At 42.5% G+C, this 21,382-nt stretch overlaps 2 protein-coding genes and 1 long non-coding RNA gene across 46 annotated transcripts in view, besides 1 other annotated feature; 1 reads left to right on the top strand and 2 right to left on the bottom strand.

The window, feature by feature from the left end:
- Nucleotides 1-2,885, bottom strand: part of TTC23L (tetratricopeptide repeat domain 23 like) — an 86,519-nt gene extending 83,634 nt beyond the window's left edge. For 6 of the 22 annotated variants that reach the window (NR_169876.1, NM_001386171.1, XM_017009119.3 and 3 more), the window contains exons 1-2: nucleotides 2,395-2,668; nucleotides 1,310-1,384 (exon numbers count right to left, since the gene is read on the bottom strand). Coding sequence is in view for 19 of the 22 variants with exons in the window: in NM_001386171.1 (NP_001373100.1) it covers nucleotides 1,310-1,384; nucleotides 2,395-2,414 (95 nt within the window). In the remaining 3 variants the exon portion in view is untranslated. The other 16 variants (XM_047416824.1, XM_011513984.4, NM_001386172.1 and 13 more) reach the window with 5 other exon arrangements.
- Nucleotides 2,486-2,595: an enhancer, noted in NCBI's record as "active region_22466". NCBI's record gives its function as "activates an Ori minimal core promoter by ATAC-STARR-seq in GM12878 lymphoblastoid cells {active_cell/tissue: GM12878}" and the evidence as "EXISTENCE:reporter gene assay evidence [ECO:0000049][PMID:35858748]".
- TTC23L-AS1 (TTC23L antisense RNA 1) lies at nucleotides 2,717-4,502 on the top strand. The gene is made up of 2 exons (NR_183259.1): nucleotides 2,717-2,866; nucleotides 3,032-4,502. It is a non-coding gene; the product is annotated as a TTC23L antisense RNA 1 (long non-coding RNA).
- A 4,934-nt stretch (nucleotides 4,503-9,436) lies between these two features.
- The window catches only part of RAI14 (retinoic acid induced 14), a 176,285-nt gene continuing 164,339 nt past the window's right edge, over nucleotides 9,437-21,382 (bottom strand). For all 23 annotated transcript variants that reach the window (NM_015577.3, NM_001145522.2, XM_047417088.1 and 20 more), the window contains 5 exons: nucleotides 20,199-20,317; nucleotides 17,558-19,093; nucleotides 15,570-15,719; nucleotides 12,252-12,317; nucleotides 9,437-11,361 (listed from right to left, as the gene is read on the bottom strand). In NM_015577.3, coding sequence (NP_056392.2) covers nucleotides 11,284-11,361; nucleotides 12,252-12,317; nucleotides 15,570-15,719; nucleotides 17,558-19,093; nucleotides 20,199-20,317 — 1,949 coding nt within the window. In that variant the 3' untranslated portion in view covers nucleotides 9,437-11,283. The remainder of the gene's footprint in view (nucleotides 11,362-12,251; nucleotides 12,318-15,569; nucleotides 15,720-17,557; nucleotides 19,094-20,198; nucleotides 20,318-21,382) is intronic.

The following is a 21,382-nucleotide window of genomic DNA, read 5'->3' as shown; positions in this document are numbered from 1 at the left end:
CAACTAAGGATGACTTTGCCCCGAGGGGAAATCTGGCAGCATCTAGAGACATTTTTGCTTGTCACAACTGGAGCTAGTGCTACTGGCATCTAGTGGATGGTGGCCAGGGATGCTGCTAAAAATCCTACAACATATAGGACAGCCCTCCACAACAAACAGTTATCCAACCCCAATGTCAACAGTGCAGAGACCGAGAAACCCTGCTATAGAGAATGGTTAAAGAATGGACTCTACCTGGGCACAGTGGCTCATGCCTGTAATCCCAGCACTTTGAGAGGCTGAGGCAGGAGGATCACTTGAGCCCAGGAGTTCCAGACCAGCCTAGGTAACATAATGAGAACGCATCTCTACAAAAATGTAAAAATTAGGCAGGTATGGTGGTGTGTGCCTGTAGTCCCAGCTACTCAGGAGGCTGAGGTGGGAGGATCTCTTGAGCCTAAGAGGCCAAGGCTGCAGTGAGCCGTGATTGCACCACTGCACTCCAGCCTGGGTGACAGAGCAAGGCTGTCTCTAAAAACGAAACAAAACAAAACAAGAATGGATTCTAGAGTCAGAATGCCCAGTTTAAATACCATTTACTAGCTTTGCAACTTTGGGCAAACTCCCTAACATCTCTTTGATTCATACTCATCTATAAAATGTACCAATAACAGTAACTCCTTCACAGGGCTTGGGGGGATTAAATCAGCTAAGACGTTTAAGGTACTTAGAACAGAGCCTGGCACATAGTATGTGCTCAATAAGTATTAGACGATACGAAAGTTTTATTTACTCTATTTCATAAAAATTTTCTCATTAACTTTGTTATAGCTAACTCTCTACAATTTTGCCAATCTTGTTATAACTAACCTATTTTTATTTTAAAAACTTTTAAAATTTCCTTAAGTCGGGAAAAAGCAATCTTCTATCATGCATAGGTTGTAAATACAAACAGATATTATAGCAGAATCATTATTAAAGCACATCAGAAACACAACCTTCTTTTTTATTTTATTTTATTTTTTTTTGAGACAGGGTCTCTATTGCCCAGACTGGAGTGCAGTGATGGAATCTCAGCCCACCACAACCTCTGCCTCCGGGTTCAGCTATTCTCCTGCCTCAGCCTCCCGAGTAGCTGGGATTACAGTCGCGTGCCACTACCGCGCAGCTAATTTTTGTATTTTTAGTAGAGACGGGGTTTCACCATGTTGGTCAGGCTGGTCGTGAACGCTTCTCATGCAAAGCTCCTCACCCAGGTTTGCCTTAAGCAGGAGGTCCCAGTGTTTCAGCCCAGTAAGTACCTGTGATGTCAAAATGCTGTGATACTTACATATGGAAGCAGAAATCCCAGTCGATGTCATTGCTAACAGTTGGGATACGGATGGGGCTGGCTTGCATCTTCTTCCTACCAAGAATCAGGTAAGGTCAGCTTTGAGAGAAAAGGCTGGGTGTCTGTTCTATTTTCCCCCTCTGGTTTGCTATTAACATTAAACTAAAACTGCTCAAATATATAACCCATCCTAAATCCACAGACTACGCATACTTAGATATGGAGACCGCTGGAAAACAGACATTTGCCAAATTAAATGTCTAAGTTAAATTTCTTTCCCCTAATTTCAACTCCACCCTACTTCTCCAAAATCCCTGGCCTTTATGTCTCAAAGCAAGCACATTTACAGTTCCTGGGTCATCAAAACTATGGTCACCTACTTAACTCAGATATTGTTTTTGCAGGTCTGACGGCGTGTTGGATTTAAGCAAAGCAACCAACTCTCAGTGGTAAACGAAGCACAGCCAGTGTATTGGTTAATTCTGCTTTCCCCCCCCCCCCCGGGGTCATTTCACTAATTAATAGCAGATTCTAGTACAGGGGTCACGAGGCGGGTACAGAGGCTCACGCCTGTAATCCCAGCACTGTGGGAAGCCGAGGCGGGTGGATCACCCGAGTTCAGGAGTTCGAGACCAGCCTGGCCAACAGGGTGAAACCCCGTCTCTACTAAAAATACAAAATATAGTCGGCTGTGGTGGTGCACGCCTGTAGTTCCAGCTACTCGGGAGGCTGAGGCAGGAGAATCGCTTGAACCCGGGAGGCGGAGATCGCGCCACTGCACTCCAGCCTGGGCGACAGAGCGAGACTCCGTCTCAAAATAAAATAAAACAATAAAATGAAATTCATGTGTCTGTTTTAGTTGTTGCTGTTAGATGATAGGAGAAACCTCGGAAGCACAAAACGAAAAATGTGATTTCTAAATACAGTATTTGTGAAATTCAACTCTCAAGGAAGGCTATGCCAGTCGCTTAAATCAAACCCAAATCGAACGCAGTTACTTATTGAATGTTAACATCCACCAAGTCGCCTCTCCTTTCACCCTCCAGAATCACTAATTCCCACCGAGCCCTGAGTGGCTTTCTGACCCAGGCTCCAGAGCATCCATTATCCGAAAATCAGAAAGGGAGAGTCACTAATTTCTCTTTTTAACCTCCACTTTAAACACTATGCCCACAGCAAAGAGTTCTGATCTCTCAAACTCCCGGACTCTGTTCCTATGACGTTCCGCACGGCCCTGAGCCCCTCAAGGACGAATCGCTCCTCTTTTCCCGCTGTGGTTCTGCGGCAAGTCTGTAAGCCCTGACGCCGCAGGTCGAGCTCTGAGAGCCTCTCTGCCGCGGAGGCTCTAAGAGAACGCGCGAGTGCGCAAAGGGCACCTGGCTCAAGGCGGAGAAACCACGCCCCGGAACCAGCCTCCCAGCTCCCTGAGCCCGACGGCGCGGCTTCCTCCCGCTGCGTCGGCCTCCTGACCCTGGCGCACCTCGGTCCGGGCGCCAAAGCGGTGCCTCGCGAAAGCTGCACAGCCTGCGACGTCCCCAGTTACCTTCCGCAGCCCAGGTCCGGCCAAGGAGACAATACCGTTGCCATGGGAACGGAACGCTACGGGTTCTGCTGGGAGCGCCTGTAGCCATGGCGACGCGGGGCACTTCCGGTTCGGAGAGTCCCTGTTGTCTGGCGCCTACAGCAGCCCTTGCCTTACCCTCCGCTTTCCCTTCCCCGCAGGTTAGACGCGCCCGGCCTCCGGCTCGCCCCAAAACTGGCCTCTGCATATTGTATCTCACGAGACCTTACCCCTCGGAGGTGAAGGCGTAGGAAGAGAAGATACATTCCGTCCAAGGATGGAAGGGAGCGCCGGGCCCCACGGCCCTACTTATTTAAAGCTGCGACGTGTGCGGGCTGTATTCGGCGACGATCCTGGCCACGGTGCACCCCCACAGCTCCTCGGGAGTTTTGTTTTTATGGACCCCAGAGGAAAGGCTTAGATATGGCTGTTGACTGTGCTGGCACCGTCTGTGTTACCCAGTAAGATTGGAGCTAGGCATGGTTAGGAAAGCTGATTGCAGGAAGAGAGTAGGGTAAGAAATCGACTACTAGATCTGCTAATGGTTAGCTGTTCATTATTTATTTAGCACTTAGCCCTAAATAATGCAGCCATATCTTACCCTTTCGTTGGCATGGAATACAGTGTGTGTAATACACACAAGGTGCAGAGGCAATTGTGGCCATACCCAAAGAAACAGCGCCAGCTCTTGCAACGCTATGTTGAAGGATGTTATTATGAACCCTATCATAGACTAGGCCTATGGCAAGTCAAGTTGGAGTGAATGTGTCCCAGTTGTTTTCAGAAAAGAGCAGACTAGGTAGAGAGACAAGGAGAACATTGAGAATGTGAAAGATGGTGTTTACGTTTGGTGTTTGTTATTTCCAGCTCTAGGCTGGAAGTTTAATTGCCATTGATCCAAGACTGCCAAGAAAGCCTTTTTGGAGTTAGGTTGGAGGAGTTATTTAAATGAGTTTGCTTGAATATCTCTTAAGTAAAACCTGTATGGTCTGTTAACTCAAGATTTAAATCTGTACTTTCGAGCTCCATAGTCACAATTTTGGAAAGATTCCCCCACTTTATTCTTTTTCCTAAGAAAACTCTCAGCATGGAACAATGATGACAGCAATGAACCTGATTTCAGAATGTCAAGGTTCTGGTTTTGACTCTGTAGCCTGGGCCGAGTCACGGCCAGTGGGTCCCAATTTTCTTGCCTATACGGTGAAAGTTTTTGTACCACTTGCTTTCTGAAGCGCCTTCTGGTTCCAGGTTTCTGTAAGGGGTAAACGATTTTTGTGACTCTATGAACAGTATTTAACATGTATGGGAGTAAAAAGGAAGAACCTGTTTCCTGTTCTCCAACATTTATTTCTTTTACCCCTTGTTAAGTTGGTCATCAAATTGAAAGGTTTTAATGTTCTTTCATTCTAGGAAATGGCTGTGAGATTGTTTCTAAGTATATTAAAGGTAATGTCTCTTTTCTAAACCTTTGCTTTTGCTGATAATTGTGGAGAGAAGAACCAGAACAGGCACTGAATTCCCATTCCTAAAGCCAACGCTCTAATTCGGCCTCCATTTCATTAGCTCTGACCGGAAGCATGTTGCCTGCATCTGTAAAAATTATAAATCAAAATAAAATAACTTTGGCGACTATTTTTTTTCTTTTTTTGAGACAGAGTCTCACTCTGTGGCCCAGGTTGGAGTGCAGTGGTGTGATCTTGGCTCAGTGCAACCTCCGCCTCCCGGGTTCAAGCAATTCTGCTGCCTCAGCCTCCCGAGTAGCTGGGATTACAGATGTGTGCCACTACTGTCTGTCTAGTTTTTGTATTTTTAGTAGAGACAGGGTTTCACTGTGTTGGCCAGGCTAGTCTCGAACTCCTGACCTCAGGTGATCTGCCTGCCTCAGCCTCCCAAAGTGCCGGGATTACAGGTGTGAGCCACCGTCCAGCCAGAACTTTGAGGACTCTTGAAGTTTTTTGGTATTTCTTTCCTTGTCATGTTAACCCTGTCCCCCAAATGTAAGCTTTAGTTGTAGTATATACACTTTTAGGTTTGTTCACTAACTCTAGAATGGCATCCCACTAATCTAAGTGGATAGTGCGTTTCCACCGTGTGTATTCACATTCCCTCCCCTGATCCGGAGGTAGAGGTGGCAAGCATTGCTATTGCAGAAATTGCATAGAGGAAGCAGTATGGGGGGTTTTTCTAGGCTCTAACAACCCCAAATCAAATGTGATTATCTCCAAGCTATTCTTATCCCAGGAACTGTGAAATTTAAGGCAAGGAAATCCAAATAAACTTTCGCTTGGAACACATTTTTATGGCCTCTCAAGAGAGGGTTAGATGCCTTGCTTCTGAGCCCTCGCAGTACCCTGTCCACAATCTCATCATGACTCTCACATTGTACTGGCACTTCTGTTTATTTGCAAGTTTCTCCAATCTCCATACATCTATCCATCCACCCAGACAAAAATATTTGTGGAATACCTACTATGTGCCAGATAATGTTCTAAGCAGTAGGAAAGCAAAAGTGAACAAATAAGATAATGATTTTGCTTTCCAGGAATTTATATTCTACTAGATGAAGAAAAACAGAGCTGCTAGTAAACAGTATGGTGTCTCTGCAAGTTACAAAAAGGCAGAAGGCTTAGGGAGTATGCAGTGACAGTGTATGAATTTGGAAAAAGCCTTTTCCTCCAGCCAGACTCAGACCCCTGCTAAGGAGTACAGCTTTGGGAACAGAGAGTGGGCTGGATTTCAGGACTCACTGACTCCCTTAGCCAGAAGAGTCACCTTAAGAAAAAGTGGGCTGGGCACAGTGGCTCACGCCTGTAATCCCAGCACTTTGGGAGGCCAAGGCGGGTGGATCACCAGATCAGGATTTCGAGACCAGCCTGGCCAACATGGCAAAACCCCATCTCTACTAAAAGTAAAAAATTAGCTGGGTGTGGTGGCGGGTGCCTGTAATCTCAGCTACTTGGGAGGCTGAGGCAGGAGAATTGCTTGAACGTGGGAGGCAGAGGTTGCAGTGAGCCGAGATTGTTCCATTGCACTCCAGCCTGGGTGACAAGAGCAAGAATCCATCTTAAAAAAAAAAAAAAAGAAAAAAGAAAAAGAAAACATGATAAACAGTTATGGAGAAAAATAAAACCAGGTAAGGGATTTAGAAGGTGATGTGGCCATGGCGGGAGGGGTGTGCCATCTTACATAGTGTAGTTAAACAGGGCCTCTCTGACAAGATGACATTGAGAAGATACCTCAAATCGTGCAACAAATTGTGCAAATATTTAGGAGAAGAACATTCTAAGATGTTAACAGCAAGTGCAAAAGCCCTGAGGCAGGAACAAGTTTAATGGGGTCAAAGAACAGCCAAGGGTAGTAAGAATGAGGAGGAAAGAGACAAAAGACTGTGTCAGTAAAGTGGTGGGGCATCAGGTCATGGAGGGCCTTATAGGCAATTCATCCGTCTAAATATTCATCTACCCACTCAGTGAATACAGAATACCTGCTAGGTAGCAGGCCCTGATTGGCCAGCTATGAGCTCCTCGTGAGCAGGAGTTGTTATCATTGAGCCTTTAGCATTCAGCACAGTGCCTGGGATATATCAGTGTTAAAAAAGAAAAACAAAACAAAAAAAACACATAAACTACAAATGACCTTTAGGAACTCCATTAGTAGAGATTCTCCCTGTGTGTATCAGTTTCCTATTGTTGCTGTAATGTCACCACAAACTCAGTGGCTTAACAAACCACAACTTTATTATTGTATAATTCTGGAGGTTGAAAGTCTGAAATGGGTGTCACTGGGCTAAAGACAAGCTGTCTGCAAGGGTGGCTCCTTCTGGGAGCTCAAGGAGAAAATTTTTTCTTACCTTTTCCAGCCTCTAGAGCCTGGCTGCATTCCTTGATTTGTTCTCTTCATCTTCAAAGCCAGCAGCAATGCAGCATCTTCAAATCTCTGACCCTTCTTTCCATTTTTAAAAGACCCCTCTTGTTATACTGGGCCCACCTGGATAATCTTATTTAAAGGTCAGCAGATTAGCAGGCTTAATTCTATCAGCAACCTTAATTCCTCCTTGTCATGTAACTTATTCACAGGTTAGATTCACAGCTAACATATTCACAGGTTCTGAGGATTAGGACATGGATGTCTTTGGGAGGACTTATTCTGCCTACTAGAGTGTGTAACTTAAATGCATGGTTTTAAAAACATATGGAGGTGACACATAAGGAGCCCTCTTCTCCTGGCTGTTAGCAGCTTGCATCATTTGACTGTGTCCTGCTTCTTTCCATCCCTTACTGATATGGTTTGGCTGTGTCCCCACCCAAATCTCATCTTGAATTCCCACATGTTGTGGGGGGAACGTGGTGGGAGATAATTGAATCATGAGGGTGGGTCTTTCCTATGCTGTTCTTGTGATAGTGGATAAGTCTTACAAGATCTGATGGTTTTAAAAACGGGAGTTTCCCTGCACAAGCTCTCTCTTTGCCTGCTGCCATCCATTTAAGACGTGACTTGCTCCTCCTTGCCTTCTACCATGACTGAGAGGCCTCACTAGCCACGTGGAACTATAAGTCCATGAAACCTTTCTTTTGTAAATTGCCCAGTCTTGGGTATGTTTTTATCAGCAGCATGAAAACGGACTAATACTCTTATGTATCCTCCACTTTATAATCTGGTACATCCAGTTACGGTTCTTGAATATGCTGTTTCTTCCCATTTTAGAGCCTGCTTTATAGTAAGTATGCAGGAATGTCTCTGCTTTCCTCCTACTCGCCTCGTGGGGGCTTTACTTCTCAAAGGAGCCTTTCCATCTGCTGGAACCTATGTTGATTGTTCCCTTGCCCAGCTCCTATGGCTGAGTCCTTGTTCTTTTGTTTCTCAAATATGTCACACGCTCCCATAATGCTTGACAAATCTCTGCCCTGATCTGGTGAATAGAAAATTGCTACTCTTGTGAAAGCCCTAGTTCTTTGGTCTGTGGCTTTTTCCAGCTCACTCTTGGCCTTGCAGTCTGCTGCTTAACTTTGCTCAAAAAATGACCCCAATCTTTGTTGCATAATGTTTCTGCTACTGTCAGCACTCAATATTCTTGTTATGCTGCATTGCAAAATGTTGTGCTTCAACATGTTCAGGGAGTGTTTTCCCCTCACAGCGTATCATGTGTTTATCTGAAGATGGGTGGGTTTAATTATTAAAGGCTTTGGAGTTTGTCTTAAAGTGTATGTAAGGAAAACAAATTAATGACTCTTATTCAAACAACATGAAGGGAAAGGCCATTCTTTCTCAATGTGATGATACGAACAATATTCTATTCATTTTTTTTCTGCCCATATCTTGATGGAAGCTAATGTAAAAATGAGCAATTTGAAAATTCAAAAAATCCTTACACGTGTAAAGATATACATACATACATAGGATAGTCAATTGCATCATTTTTGTAGCTGCAATACTGGAAGCAATTAAATGTCCATAATGTGGAATTATCAAGATAAAATATAGCACCATACTATGCAATTTTATTCAGCAGTTAAAAAGAATGAGATGTGTATGCTGACAGAGAATAATATCCAAGATATTTAAAGAAGAAAGAAAAATACATGCCTACATGTACATATAGACAGAGAATGTCTCAGGTCACCGAAGAAACTTACTAGATGTTGCTTCTGGGTAGATGCACTAAGGATTGGGGAGTAAGAGAAAGATTTATTTGTGGTTCCTTTCATTTGTCCTACAATCTCAGCTGCTATCTAATTGTGGAGGCAGGAGAGTTTCTTTTCATATCCCAATTTTGCCTTATGAGGCGTTTCTGTCCATCAGAGATGACTGGTTTGGGTTTATCTCAGTTTCCTCTCCAGCTGAGTGTCCCCATGAAGTCACCTTCTGAGTTGTCTGGTTGGCCACAGTTGAAATAAAAGGTTCAGTTGAGTATCACACACATGCTTTCTTTGAAATAAAGTTTCAGGGTATAGTAGGAAGGCACAATGAAACTGAAGTAGAGGTGGAATCATGTTGTAAGTGAAGGGAAATGGCCTTGTTACATTGGAGTATGATAAACAATGCTAACTTCTTAAGTAGCTGTACCTATTTCATGTAATTTTGATTATGATTATAACCTGCAACAATTTTAATTATGATTTTAACCTTGCCAGAATTCACCTGACAAGAGTTTTGTCAGGAATTAATTGAATTGTCTTTGTAATGGGGCAGGAAAATGTATCTGGATTTTTTTTTTACATATGTATGTATTACTTTTTCAAAAAAAGCAAGAAGCAAGAGGGAAAAAAAATCCAGCGGAGGCTTCCAAACAGTTAAACAGACTGCAGATTAAATGAGAGGCAATTGTGAATTAAAGGCAACTGTGATTCAACTGCCCCAAAGCGGCTGATACTCAGGGCAGAGCTCAGGGCGAATCCAAGAGCTGGGAAAAGGAAATGATGTGAGACTTTGTGTGAGACAGTGCGGACAACTCATACCAGCTGAGCATAGCACAGACTAGAAAACCTATTACACTGAAATGCTATTGAACTGATCTTCAGAAGCCACGCAGATATGCTTCTGAATACACCAAAAATCAACACCAGAAATGCAAAATGAAACAAGTTTATTTTCTCCAATAACTTCTGTAAATTACAAAGACAAAATACTAAAAACTACAGCATATAACTTTTCAATATTTAACCAGAGTACTCGTAATAAATATGCATCCGGAAACAAGATAAAAGGCTACACCTCGTCAGGCATCCTACAAAAATGTCTCAAGTTTTATATACTCTGCAGCATTTCTGTGCGGGGGCAGAAGGGGCTGTTGTGTATTTTCTGAAGTGCTGTGACAAAAGGTCCTTTCACATTTCTTTGGAGCATTTTTGAAATTGCTTAACTATAATTAAACAACTTAAGAAAAGTAACACCAAGCTTTAAAGCCATTTTTGCTTTGCTGTCATTGGTCCTTATCCAATACAGATCAACATATCATCCAGCACAGCCAAGCACCCACTGAGGCCAAGCAGCCTTGTGGGACATGGGCCCTGTCAGAGCAGGCCCTACTTTCAGTTAAATACTTTGGAGAGTCCAGGATTCTGTCTCTCTCCCTCAACAAGATTAATGCCATAAGGGAAGTTGCAAGCGTGTTAGAAACATTTTTAACCTGAAAGTAAAGTGAACAGAAATATTTTTTTTCCGAGACCTCTGCTATGCACCATAATATTACCATATCAGGGTTTTTAGCTTCAAAGTTGAAAAACAGATTGGTACTAACAGTCCTTCTAGAGATCATTTATGGGCGCTGGTAGAGTCAGGGCATTCAAAACATTCAACGGGTAAAAGGAGGATTTGCTAGATTCAGAAATGCGCTACAATTCTGAAGACACCATGGCTGAAAGTTCTAGGGGTGTTGGTGGCAGCTCATATTAGGTCTGGCATACATAACTACCTTTTGCTATAGCTGAAAACTTTAAGGAAAAAGTTATATTTTTAAAAAGTCTCAAGCATGGCTACCTAAAAAGTATTTTGTTAATATAATCTACTGTAATTTCACTTATTTAGGAGTTCAGATATGAAAACATCTTTATGAGCCAATAAAAATATTACAGAGAAAAAAATACTTCTACAAAAGTTGAGGTTAAGAACTATGAGGCATTTCTTTTGGCTGTAAACACACAGTTTACTGTCCCTTGTTGAAACACAAATGTTTGGATTTCCTGAGCTTCACAGATAACAGCAGGAGGCAAGTTTGCATAGAAAATTTGCAGTATGTCAACAATTTACTTAAAAAAAGAACTTTTAAGGACAACTTGCTTTTGTTTTTAAGTTTCATATTTTAGTTAATAGTGCTCATCAAACTGAATATTGATAAGCAGGGTGATGAGATATATAAGGCAGATGGGAAGAAAACATGGAATTAGAGTTTTTAAATCCACAGGATATCATGATGAAGGGTTTTAAGCAGATACTTCATAACTAGTGCCATACTAATTTAGTTAGAAATTAAATCATGTTTTGGAATTGAAAGCCAAAGGCAAAAAGAGCTCTCCTGTGCTGAATGGCACTGCCCGAGTACAGGAATGGAAGGAGCATTCACTGCAGGAGGCCTCAGCACATCACTCGGTGGTGATAAAGCCACTCAGCCAGTCAGGGATGGAGGAGGGGGCCCCCCTGCCAGCATCAGGACCAGACCTCTGGGCATGGCTGATCCCAGCTCTGGAATCTGAAGGGATGACAGGGACTTTCACCTCTGCTGGTTTGAAGTCTCTAAGCAGTTCTGAGGCGGGCAGTCTTCTCCTGGGAGAAGTCCTCAGAAACCTTTGGAAAGGGAAGAAGCTACGCTAGGCCACAGTGCATACCACGAATGAGAACAATGGCAGCGGCTGCCGACAACTCTGGATCTAACACAAAGACAGATGACAAGGGGCAGTGTCCTGCCAAGGAATCCACTTTACTTCTTTTGAGACTGGTTTTTACACATGGTAAGGATTTGCTTCAGTACTTTCTGGACATCTTCATCCATCTGGCCCTAGGATATTCAAACACAAGATACTCATTAGAACCTAAATTAAGCCATGGCACTTTCTTCTCTGGGGAATGAGATGGCTGACTGCAATGAAGACCTGGGCTAATTCCCACATCTTTCACAGGAATGTCAGCCCTATCATTTCCCAAATTTCTATGAGGAACTGAGTCAAAGAAAGGGCCCTGCCTTTATCCAGCTGGAAGATGAGGTGGCAGTGTCTACCAAAACCCTCAGCAAAAGCTATCTGGGGTCTCAGTTGCAAATGTGAGTCCAGCAGCCAGAACACCAAGCATCATAGAGCCAAGGCAGCACTGGTAACTAAGAAGATCAGCATTGCTGGAAAATAAAGCCCCCGTCTTCCCAGTGGAGGACCACATCATCCCTCATTCCTCAATAAATGATGGGAGGGTGGGGCATGGTGGCTCATGCGTGTAATCTCAGCACTTTGGGAGGCCGAAGCGGGTGGATTGCTTGAGCTCAGGAGTTTGAGACCAGCCTGGGCAACATGGCAAAGCCCCATCTCTACAAAAATACAAAAATTTGCCAGGTACGGTGGTGGGTACCTGTAATCCCACCTACTTGGGAGGCTAAGGTGGGAGGATCACTTGAGCCCGTGGGTCGAGGCTGCAGTGAGGCGAGATTATGCCATTACACTCCAGCCTGCATGACAGAGTGAGGCCCTGCTTTAAAAGATGGGGCTGTTCCTGGTAAACAGGGCACAAGGCTCCTGACACAGAATCCAAAGCAATGCAAAAGGCATATTCAGGCTTTCCAGTGAAAAGGATTCTCCTCTAATTCTTGTTCATTCTCCTAGTTAAATGATGGGAGTTCTGTCAACATCTGCTGCCGTATTTCTTTAGGATGTCCAGATACTTCAAGGGGCATAACCATACCTGCACAGCATACAGAAGATGCATTCTGTAAACTGATATGACCTCCTGGTGTTGTTTCTTGCATTCCTAGAAAGGGAATATTTCACATTATTAATGAGCTTAAGAGATCTTTAAAGAACAAAAACAAAAAACTATGAGAAAGCTGCAGCCAAATGCTACCCAAGTGGTCCCCTCCACTTTATGCTAGCACTGGAAGCTTCTAAAATTGTTGTGGCCTTACTGGCTTGTGTATTTCTGAATACTTGTCAATCATCTTAGGGAAAAAAGTCTTGGTATGTCAACTCTAGAAAAAACTGTATAAAAAGGAGTTATTATCACCCCACATTTGGTTTTAAAAATATATGCTCTTTGGGCGGCTGAGGTGGGTGGATCACTTGAGGTCAGGAGTTTGAGACCAGCCTGGACAACATGGTGAAACCCCGTCTCTACTAAAAATACAAAAATTAGCCAGGCGTAGTAGTCAGTACCTGTAATCCCAGCTACTCAGGAGGCTGAGGCAAGAGAATCGCTTGAACCTAGGAGGCAGAGGTTGTAGTGAGCCGAGATCACGCCACTGCACTCCAGCGTGGGTGACAGAGCAAAACTCTGTCTCAAAATATATATATATATGTGTGTGTGTATGTGTGTGTGTGTGTATGTGTGTCTATATATGTGTGTATATATGTATATATGTGTGTGTATATATGTACATATACTTATGCAAATACAGCTACATTAAATGTAAATACTGCAAGGAAATATATCAAATGTAAAAAGTGATTATCTCAGAGTTATTGAATTATGGAAAATTTTTATTTATAGGAACTTGTTAGAGTTTTCTTTATTTTTCAACTTTTCTACAATGACCAAATATGTACTAATTTAATTTTTAAAGCCTATTATTTTTAAGGGAATTATTGATTACCCACTATATGGCCAGCATTGTATAATCCTTGGGGAGCTCAATTATTTAGCTATCAGTGTACTAAGAAGGCAAAGAGGGTGGTGGCCCCAATCTCCAGTGGTTCCTCAATACAGCCGCTGATGCTTCTATTTCTCCTTGTTGAGCTATTACTCCAGTTCCTCTCAGTGGCTGTTTCAAGGGTCTTATCTCTGAAACTCTTGTTCTAAGAACCTGTCCTCCTAATTCATCATGAAAATTGAGACCATCATATATGGATTACTTCAAAAATGTACAAAAGTCCATAATACCCATTCTTCCTTCCCCCCATCAGTGTCAGAGTATGAGGTATCTTTCCTGTTATTAAGGGACATTTTAAAACCCGTCCTTTAAGTTCACATCATAAGAAGGCACATTTGGCATTTCTCTGTGTTGTTCCCTCCCCACCTTTCAGCAACCTCTACTCAATTATTTATGATTTTATCTTCTGATCTGGCTTCCTTTCTATCACTGCCTCTGTCATCATTCGCTTGGCTTTGATATCTGTGTGAATGATCCATCTAACACCTGGACCTCTCAGTTCCTCAACTTCAGCTTTAATAACATGCTCCTCTTCAGTTCAGCAACTCCTGTCATGGTTGTAGCCCTGCCTCTATCATTACCACCTCTGAAATCTCAACTGAAAGCATCCCACACCCTAACCACCACTTCCCATCTTTCCAGCAAGCTTGCTTCAGGCTTCCCCCAACCCCTACTGCGACTGGTTAGCCCCACCAGATACCTATCTACTTACTTACTTCTCTAGCAGCCAGTCTACTGCGGTCCAGATTCTACCCTCCTCCCCACTCCACTGGAATGGTTCTCACCAAGGTTCCCAAAAGCCAGCTAGTGCCATATGTCAGTCCTTGCTAAGTAACAACATATTCTTACTCAGGCCTTCAAGACTCAGCACAAGTGTAACTCCCGTAGGAACCTTTTCATGACTCAGCAAGATTGGGTAGACACATTTCCTTTGTATGCCCACGGTATGCTGGGCATCTCTTTGCTGATAACTTATATAGAGTATAAACTCCTTGAGGGCAGGGACTGAGTCTTACTCATTTTATATCATCAGCCCCATGTATAATACTGATGTAAGAGCTCAACAAACACATGTTGCGTAATTATAAGAATTACTGTATAAACCAATAGCACTTTATCTACAAGTCTGTAATACCATTTTATCAGGAGAAGAATGACCTGCAGAACACAGTAAAGAGCAGCTTCTCCTAAGTATCCACCATTTCTAGAGCTGTTTCCTCCAAAGCTAGCATTGAACTTTGTGGCCAGCCAGAGTAAGGACTGCAGAAACCTGAATTCACTACAGTTAGGTCTATTCCGAAGAAATCATCAAATCCATGTTCTGTTTGTATATGGAAGCTAGAGACAGTCCAGGACAGACTAACCCTGGACTTTAGGTAGAAAACGGAATGTACCCATGCCAACTCAAACCTTAACAGATATTGTGGTAAGCTAAATAATGGCTCTTGAAAGATGTCCACATCCTAATCCCCAGAACCTGTGAATGTTAAACTTTATATGGCAAAAGGCATCTTGCAGATGAAATTAAGGGTTTGAGATGGAGAGGGAGATTATCGTGGATTATCTAGGTGGGCTTTAGATGTAATCACAAGAGCCCTTATAAGAGGGAGGCAAGAAAATCAAAGGCTGAAGGAGGAGATGGGAAGACTGAGCAGATGCTGGAGTGATGTGCCTCGAAGATGGAGTAAGGGGCCATGAGCCACAGAATGCAGGCAGCCTCTGGTACTGGAAAAGGCAAGGAAATTGATTTTCTCCTATGGTCTCGAGGAGGAACCAGCCCTGCCAACAACTTGAAGTTAGTCCAGTGAAAGTGATTTTGGAATTCAGTTCAATGCAACTGTAAAATAATACACTCATGTTGTTTTAAACCAAATTTGTGGTGATTTGTTACAATGGACCCAGGAAACAAATTTAGATAAGCAAGGGCTTTCCTGGGTGAAATAAGGAGAGGGGCCAAGAAGCAGCTTCAGATATATAGAGATGCAACTACTAGAGATCCTGGCCCCTAACAAGAAAAAGCTCTTGCCACTGCCAGAGATGGGGAAAGACTGTTGCAGAAAAAGGAGAAGGGGTAAAAAGTTAGGGTATGAGTGAGCACATAGCCTCCTCCTACTGTCCTGTCGGTTCTTTCCTTCCCAGTGAATATCTGACCCGTTGCATTGCTGATAACGACCAGGAATTCCACCAGTGGCTCCCTCTTTTGCCCTCACTGAAGAAATCAGTCAACTGCTCATTGAAGTACATTCCTTTGGGCTGGGAATCTTTTTGTTCACGCCCACTTGCCCTAGCAGCTGAGATGGTAGGAAATCTGCCAGGCCCTCCACCCCAAACCAGGCAGCAGAAACAAGCCCACTCACCGCCAGCTGGTTCTGGAGCTGTTTGACTTGCTGCTGCAGCGCCTCCAGCTGCTGACTCTGCCTTTTGGATGAGCTTGTTGAGTAGGAGAGCTGGGAGAGGCTGTTCAAGGCCTCCTTCAATTTGGTGACTTCCTTCGACATCTCATTTATCTAGGGGCAAAGGAAAATGGTATTAGCAGACAGTAACATGTCTACAAAGCAAAATTTCATATATTTGTAAGCCTCAAACATAGTCATCTCTTTTGGCCTCTGGGACTTAAGACTTTGGAACAATTCCTTTTTAATACATTTAAATTAAAAAACTCATAAAATGAAATGGATGACAAAATCAGGCAAACTAACAAAGCCCGCTACATCCATTAGGTTCAGATAAAGGCCCTTGAATTACATATTATGTTTTGGTGATGGCGGTAACAAAAGCTGTGATGTTGGTTTCCTACTTTTACTCTTAAAATGGGTATGATTGAAAAAAAAAATCAGAATTAGGATTTCCGCTTTTATTTGGAGACAGCTATATTTTGTCCAATACTGCTGACATGGGTGATCAGGAATAAGGTCTAGGAAGCCTGATATCTCTGGACGTCTTTCTTTAAAGTAAACACAACTAACTCCTCACCGTACCCCACCACTCCCTAATCCCTGTTCCCCTGGATGATAAAGCTCTTTTGAAACACTCATTACAAAAGAATAAAGACAAGTAGTCTCTCATGAATGCTATTCGGAACCTCCGAGACAGGGGACTAGAGATGCAGAGCCGATTGAGGCGTGGAACCATCCCCCTGAACTTCCCCTTTGCTTCCCTCCTTCCTCCAGCAGCACGGCCAGCACCATCTCTTGTGTCCAGCGCCATCTCAAATTGCCGGCTCCCCACATTCCTCCCCCTTCCTCTCCTATATACCTGTCAAAGGAGGGACCGGCGAGGGTAGCTTTTACAGTGACTTGAGGGGAAGCTCATGGACCTTAGGGAAACAGGATTAAGTCTAGGAGTATTTTAGTTTCATATTATGGAGGAATCTGTTCTGAATCCAAAAAAAGAACCTGAAGTTTGAGGTGGATCACAAATACTTTCCAGTTTGCAGGTTCACTTCTGATCCCCAATACTGGCAAAGCTTCTGTAAAATGATTTTTAAAGGACAGATATATGAAAATGCTTTAGTATAAGGAGAAGTGGCCGAAGATTGATGTTTGCTTATTGATTATTTTTTGAGGCAGGGTCTCACTCTGTTGCCCAGGCTAGAATGCAGTGGTGTTGATATGGCTCATGACAGTCTTGACTTGTAGGGCTCTAGTGATTTTCCTGCCTTAGCCTCTCAAGTGGCTGGGACTACATGCTCATACCACCATGCCTGGCTAATTTTTAAATTTTTTGTACAGATGGGGTCTCACTATATTGCTGAGGCTGGTCTCAAGCCATCCTCCCATCATGGCCTCCCAAACTGCTGGAATTAGAGGAGTGAGCCACTATGCCCAGCAGATGTGTTTTTAAAATACAAATACCCAATAAACTATTCTTTTTTTTTTTTTTTTTTTTTTGAGATGAAGTCTGTTCACTCTGTTGCCCAGGCTGGAGTGCAGTGGCCTGATCTTGGCTCACTGCAACCTCCACCTCCTGGGTTCAAGCCATTCTCCTGCCTCAGCCTCCCTTGTAGCTGGGATTACAGGCGTGTGCCACCACGCCCAGCTAATTTTTGTATTTTTAGTAGAGACGTGGTTTCACCATGTTGGCCAGGCTGGTCTTGAACTCCTGACCTCAAGTGATCCACCCACCTCGGCCTCCCAAAGTGCTGGGATTATAAGCGTGAGCCACCACGTCCGGCCGACCCAACAAACTATTCTTAATGTGGCTTTGGTGACAGATAAAGTTCATGTGCAGAGCCTCTGAGCATTCACTCCAGTTTAGTGCCAACACTAGAAATATTTAATATAGTAAAAGCCAAAGAGACTAAGACTTATTGCTAGAAACCCAACAGCAATACAGTTTCACCAACCTTTTTATCTTTATCTTCCTCCAGTTTTGAAGAGCTCTCAGCGTATCTTTTCATTTCTGCAAGTTCTTCCTGAGCTTGCTGGAATTTTTGCAGAAGTTCATTTACTTCTTGCTCTTTGGATTTCAAGAGAGTCTGAATATTTTCCTTTTCTCTTTTCACCTGTGAGACCTCACTTCTAATCTGGACAACCTCTGAATGGACCTTCTCTTTCTCTTTCACAGATTCCTTTAATTTCGATGCCAACACACTCACTTCACTCTCTAAGGATGACTGGAGTTTTTCATAGGAAGACCGAGGTACCATTGCATCAGTCATAGCAGCTTTCTCTTCTAAGAGTTGTTTCTCCAGCTTTGCTACTTCCACTTCCTTGCTTGCAAGGTGTTCCTTAAGATTGCTTATTTTTTCTTCCATCTCTTTTGCTGCAGTCCGCAGCGTGGTTATCACTTGCAAATGTTCTGTGATAGAGACAGAGTTCTCTTTTTGTGCATCCACCAGTTGTTTGAGCTGGGTCAACTCATTCAACACTTTTGAATACTGAGACTTCATTTCAGACAGTGCATCTTCTGCTTTAGCCCTGGACACGTTTGTCAATTGCATCAGTTTCTCATGCTCTGCTTTATGGATATATTCAGCTGTGACATCCTCTAGAGATTTCCTCTTCCTGTAATCCTCCAGCTCAGCCTGGGCTTCTTTGTACAGCTGTGACAGCTCGCTCACCTGTTTATTGAGTTCATCTATCATCCTATTCATGGCTTCTTTCATGTCCTCAGCTTCATCACTGGCTTCCTGTGTCATCTGACTTTTTAGTGTGTCTTTTAATTTCATGATTTCTTCTTGGGCTTCTTGGTATTTCTCAAACAAAAATGCTTTCTCCTTATTCATATTCTCAATAACAGAGCAATATGAACTTTTCATTTCCTCGTACTCTTCCACAGGTGGCTTAATCACTGTACCTTTCTCCCTCTCTACCAGTTTTTCCTCTAACTCTCTCACTTTCTCTTTATTTCTTTCACTTTCTTCTAATGCATTCTGCAGATCCTGCTTTAGCACATTTATTTCCTCTTCCGTGACCCTCAGCTCGTGGAAATGTGAATAATTATCCATGCTTTCAGGTGAGACAAGACCGAGTTTCATCTGCTTCTGCACACTAAGGACTTCTTTCATAGCCTCCTCGTATTTGCTCTGAGTTTCTTTAAGTTTCTGGCTGAGGTCAGAGCTGTTCTCTGAAATCTCAGTGTTGTTTAAGCATACCAGTTCTGCCCTTCGGGATTGGAGTTCGACCTGTAGCTGTTTTCTCTCTGCTTCAGAGCTCTCTAATCTCTTCTGTAGATCTTGCAAAATCTCTTGCAGTTGCTGAATTCTGACATCATTGTCAGTAGTGGATTTACCTAAAGAATGTATTAAGACAGATGGAGATGATTTGGAGTCTGGGGGAGAGGTTTCACCAGGTTTTCCCAGGGATGGGCCCAAGTCAGTTTGGGTGGAATGGTATGAGTCAAAGCTTAGGTCTGCTTCCGCCTCCTTGGGTGATTTGGCCTAGGAAAAAAAAGCAAGAATTAAATGATATCAAAGGTCAGGAGATTGAGACCATCCTGGCTAACACGGTGAAACCCCGTCTCTACTAAAAAAAAATACAAAAAATTAGCCGGGCGTGGTGGCGGGCGCCTGTGATCCCAGCTACTCGGGAGGCTGAGGCAAGAGAATGGCGTGAACCCGGGAGGCGGAGCTTGCAGTGAGCCGAGATCGCGCCACTGCACTCCAGCCTGGGCGACAGAGCAAGACTCCGTCTCAAAAAAAAAAAAAAAAAAAAAAAAAAAAAAAAAAAAAGATACCAAAGGCGTGGTTAGCTAAGCAAGCAACTAGAATGAGAGGAGTAAATCCGCAACTTTGGTACGGGAGAGTAGCATGATCACTTTGCCTGTGTATTCTCATGCCATGAAAAAAGACAGTCTGGGACATGAGTGGGACTAATGACACAAAGCTTGCTTTGGGTTCTATTGGGACAGACGATTTGTGTCACTTTGAAAACACTAAAATTGTTTTCTCTACAAAGCCTCCAATTCAAAAATTTCCTTTATTTCTTATATCATTCTACTTGCCAAGAGGGGTAATGGATATATAGTACAGCTATTTCTTCTTCTTATTTTTTGGTACAGCCATTTCTTATCAAGTACTTAAACCTGTTAAATGATCAACTTTACTAAATGGATAATATTTTATATATATATATATATATATATACATACACACATACATATATAATTTAAAACGTAAAATTTTAATATATATAAAATCAAAATATAAAATTATATATTATGCATCATTCTATGCATATAGTATATTTTATATAGAATTTTTTCTATAAATTTTGTTTTATTTATATAATTTATTAAACATATAGAATATTTAATACTGATCATACTATGTGTATAATTATTTATAATTTACCAGTTGAATAATTTACAGAAAGAGTTAATGAATAACACTCTCATGAAACAAATAATCTGAAACTATAAGATGCTTAAAGCTAATATTTAAAAAGAAACTAATGTACACATTTAAAACAAAATACATCTGACTACTGAAAAGACCAAGAGCTTGACTCTACAGAATAGTCCATGATAGCAATCTATTTATATACCTGTAATTTATCTTGTAACTCCTTATTGTGTAAGGTAAGGGAAGCAACTTTTGCTTGCAATAGAGAGAGAAGATCTTGTTGGTCAGCTTCAGAACTTATATCCAATAAGCTATCAGCACCTTGGGAAAGAGAAAGCCATTTAAAATATAAAACAATTAAACTCTTATTTCTCTAACCTGAGACAAATTCACTTCCTAGCCTAATCCAGTTCTTCTTCCTGGCCCTAATTATAAAACGCCCTAGCAGCTGGATGGGTGAACTAAAATTTTCATTTTATATAGAAAGGAAACTGGGGTTTCCTTACTGTGGTATTGCTAGCACAATACTAGATACATGTGTACACAAGGCAATCTGAAAATTGATGAATTTGGTCATATATTTCCTATTCATTTGCTTAAGTGTCATATCTTGGTTGTTTTTGGTTCTTCCCTGTGCCTTGTAAGTCTCAGTTATGTGAATCATTTTAGAAATGTCTCTGGAATCTGGTTTATTTCTTTCCCCCTACCACCATTACTGTAGTTAAGACTTTATCACCTTACTTGGAAACTCTGCAAACAGCTTCCCAACAAATCTCTGCCTCTCTCTTCTTCCCAGTGAAACTGTAGCCTGCACAGCAACGTCAGACCAGTCTTCCTAAAACATACTTTGATTGGGTCATTCCTCTGGGTCAAGTGCTTTAATTGTTTTCCCTCCAAAAATAATCTCCAAATTCCTTTATCTGGGTTCAGGCCTCTATGATTTGGCTCCAGTCTACTTCTTCAGGTTCATGACACTGCTACTTTTCTAGATTCCTATTTTCCTCAGATTCATGGTTCCCATCACACCCTCTACATTCTCAACACACGGCTGATTCTTTCATTCTTTATCCACAGGATTGCCCTGCAGAATCTCTCTGCCTAGAGAATTCTTAAGCATCATGTCAAACTTTGCCCAGTCCTTAAAGCATTCAAAGACCACCCTAGCATGAAACTATCTTCTCTTCTCTGAATCCCACAGTAATCCCTGTTGGTAAACCACAACTTTCGGACATCCTACTGATTATCATGCTGAAATTGCAACTTAAGGAGTGCTATTCAAGGTGCTCACAGAGATAGCAAACTTCCTCCAGAATGCAATGCAATGTACTGCTTCCTTCATCTAGAAAGTCCTACAAAAGATATGTCAGCTGAACAAAACAATGTGCT

Source organism: Homo sapiens, chromosome 5 (genome assembly GCF_000001405.40).
Source record: "Homo sapiens chromosome 5, GRCh38.p14 Primary Assembly".
NCBI lineage: Eukaryota > Metazoa > Chordata > Mammalia > Primates > Hominidae > Homo > Homo sapiens.
The sequence above is the reverse complement of the archived record's forward strand: the minus strand, read 5'-3'. Positions and strand labels throughout refer to the sequence as shown.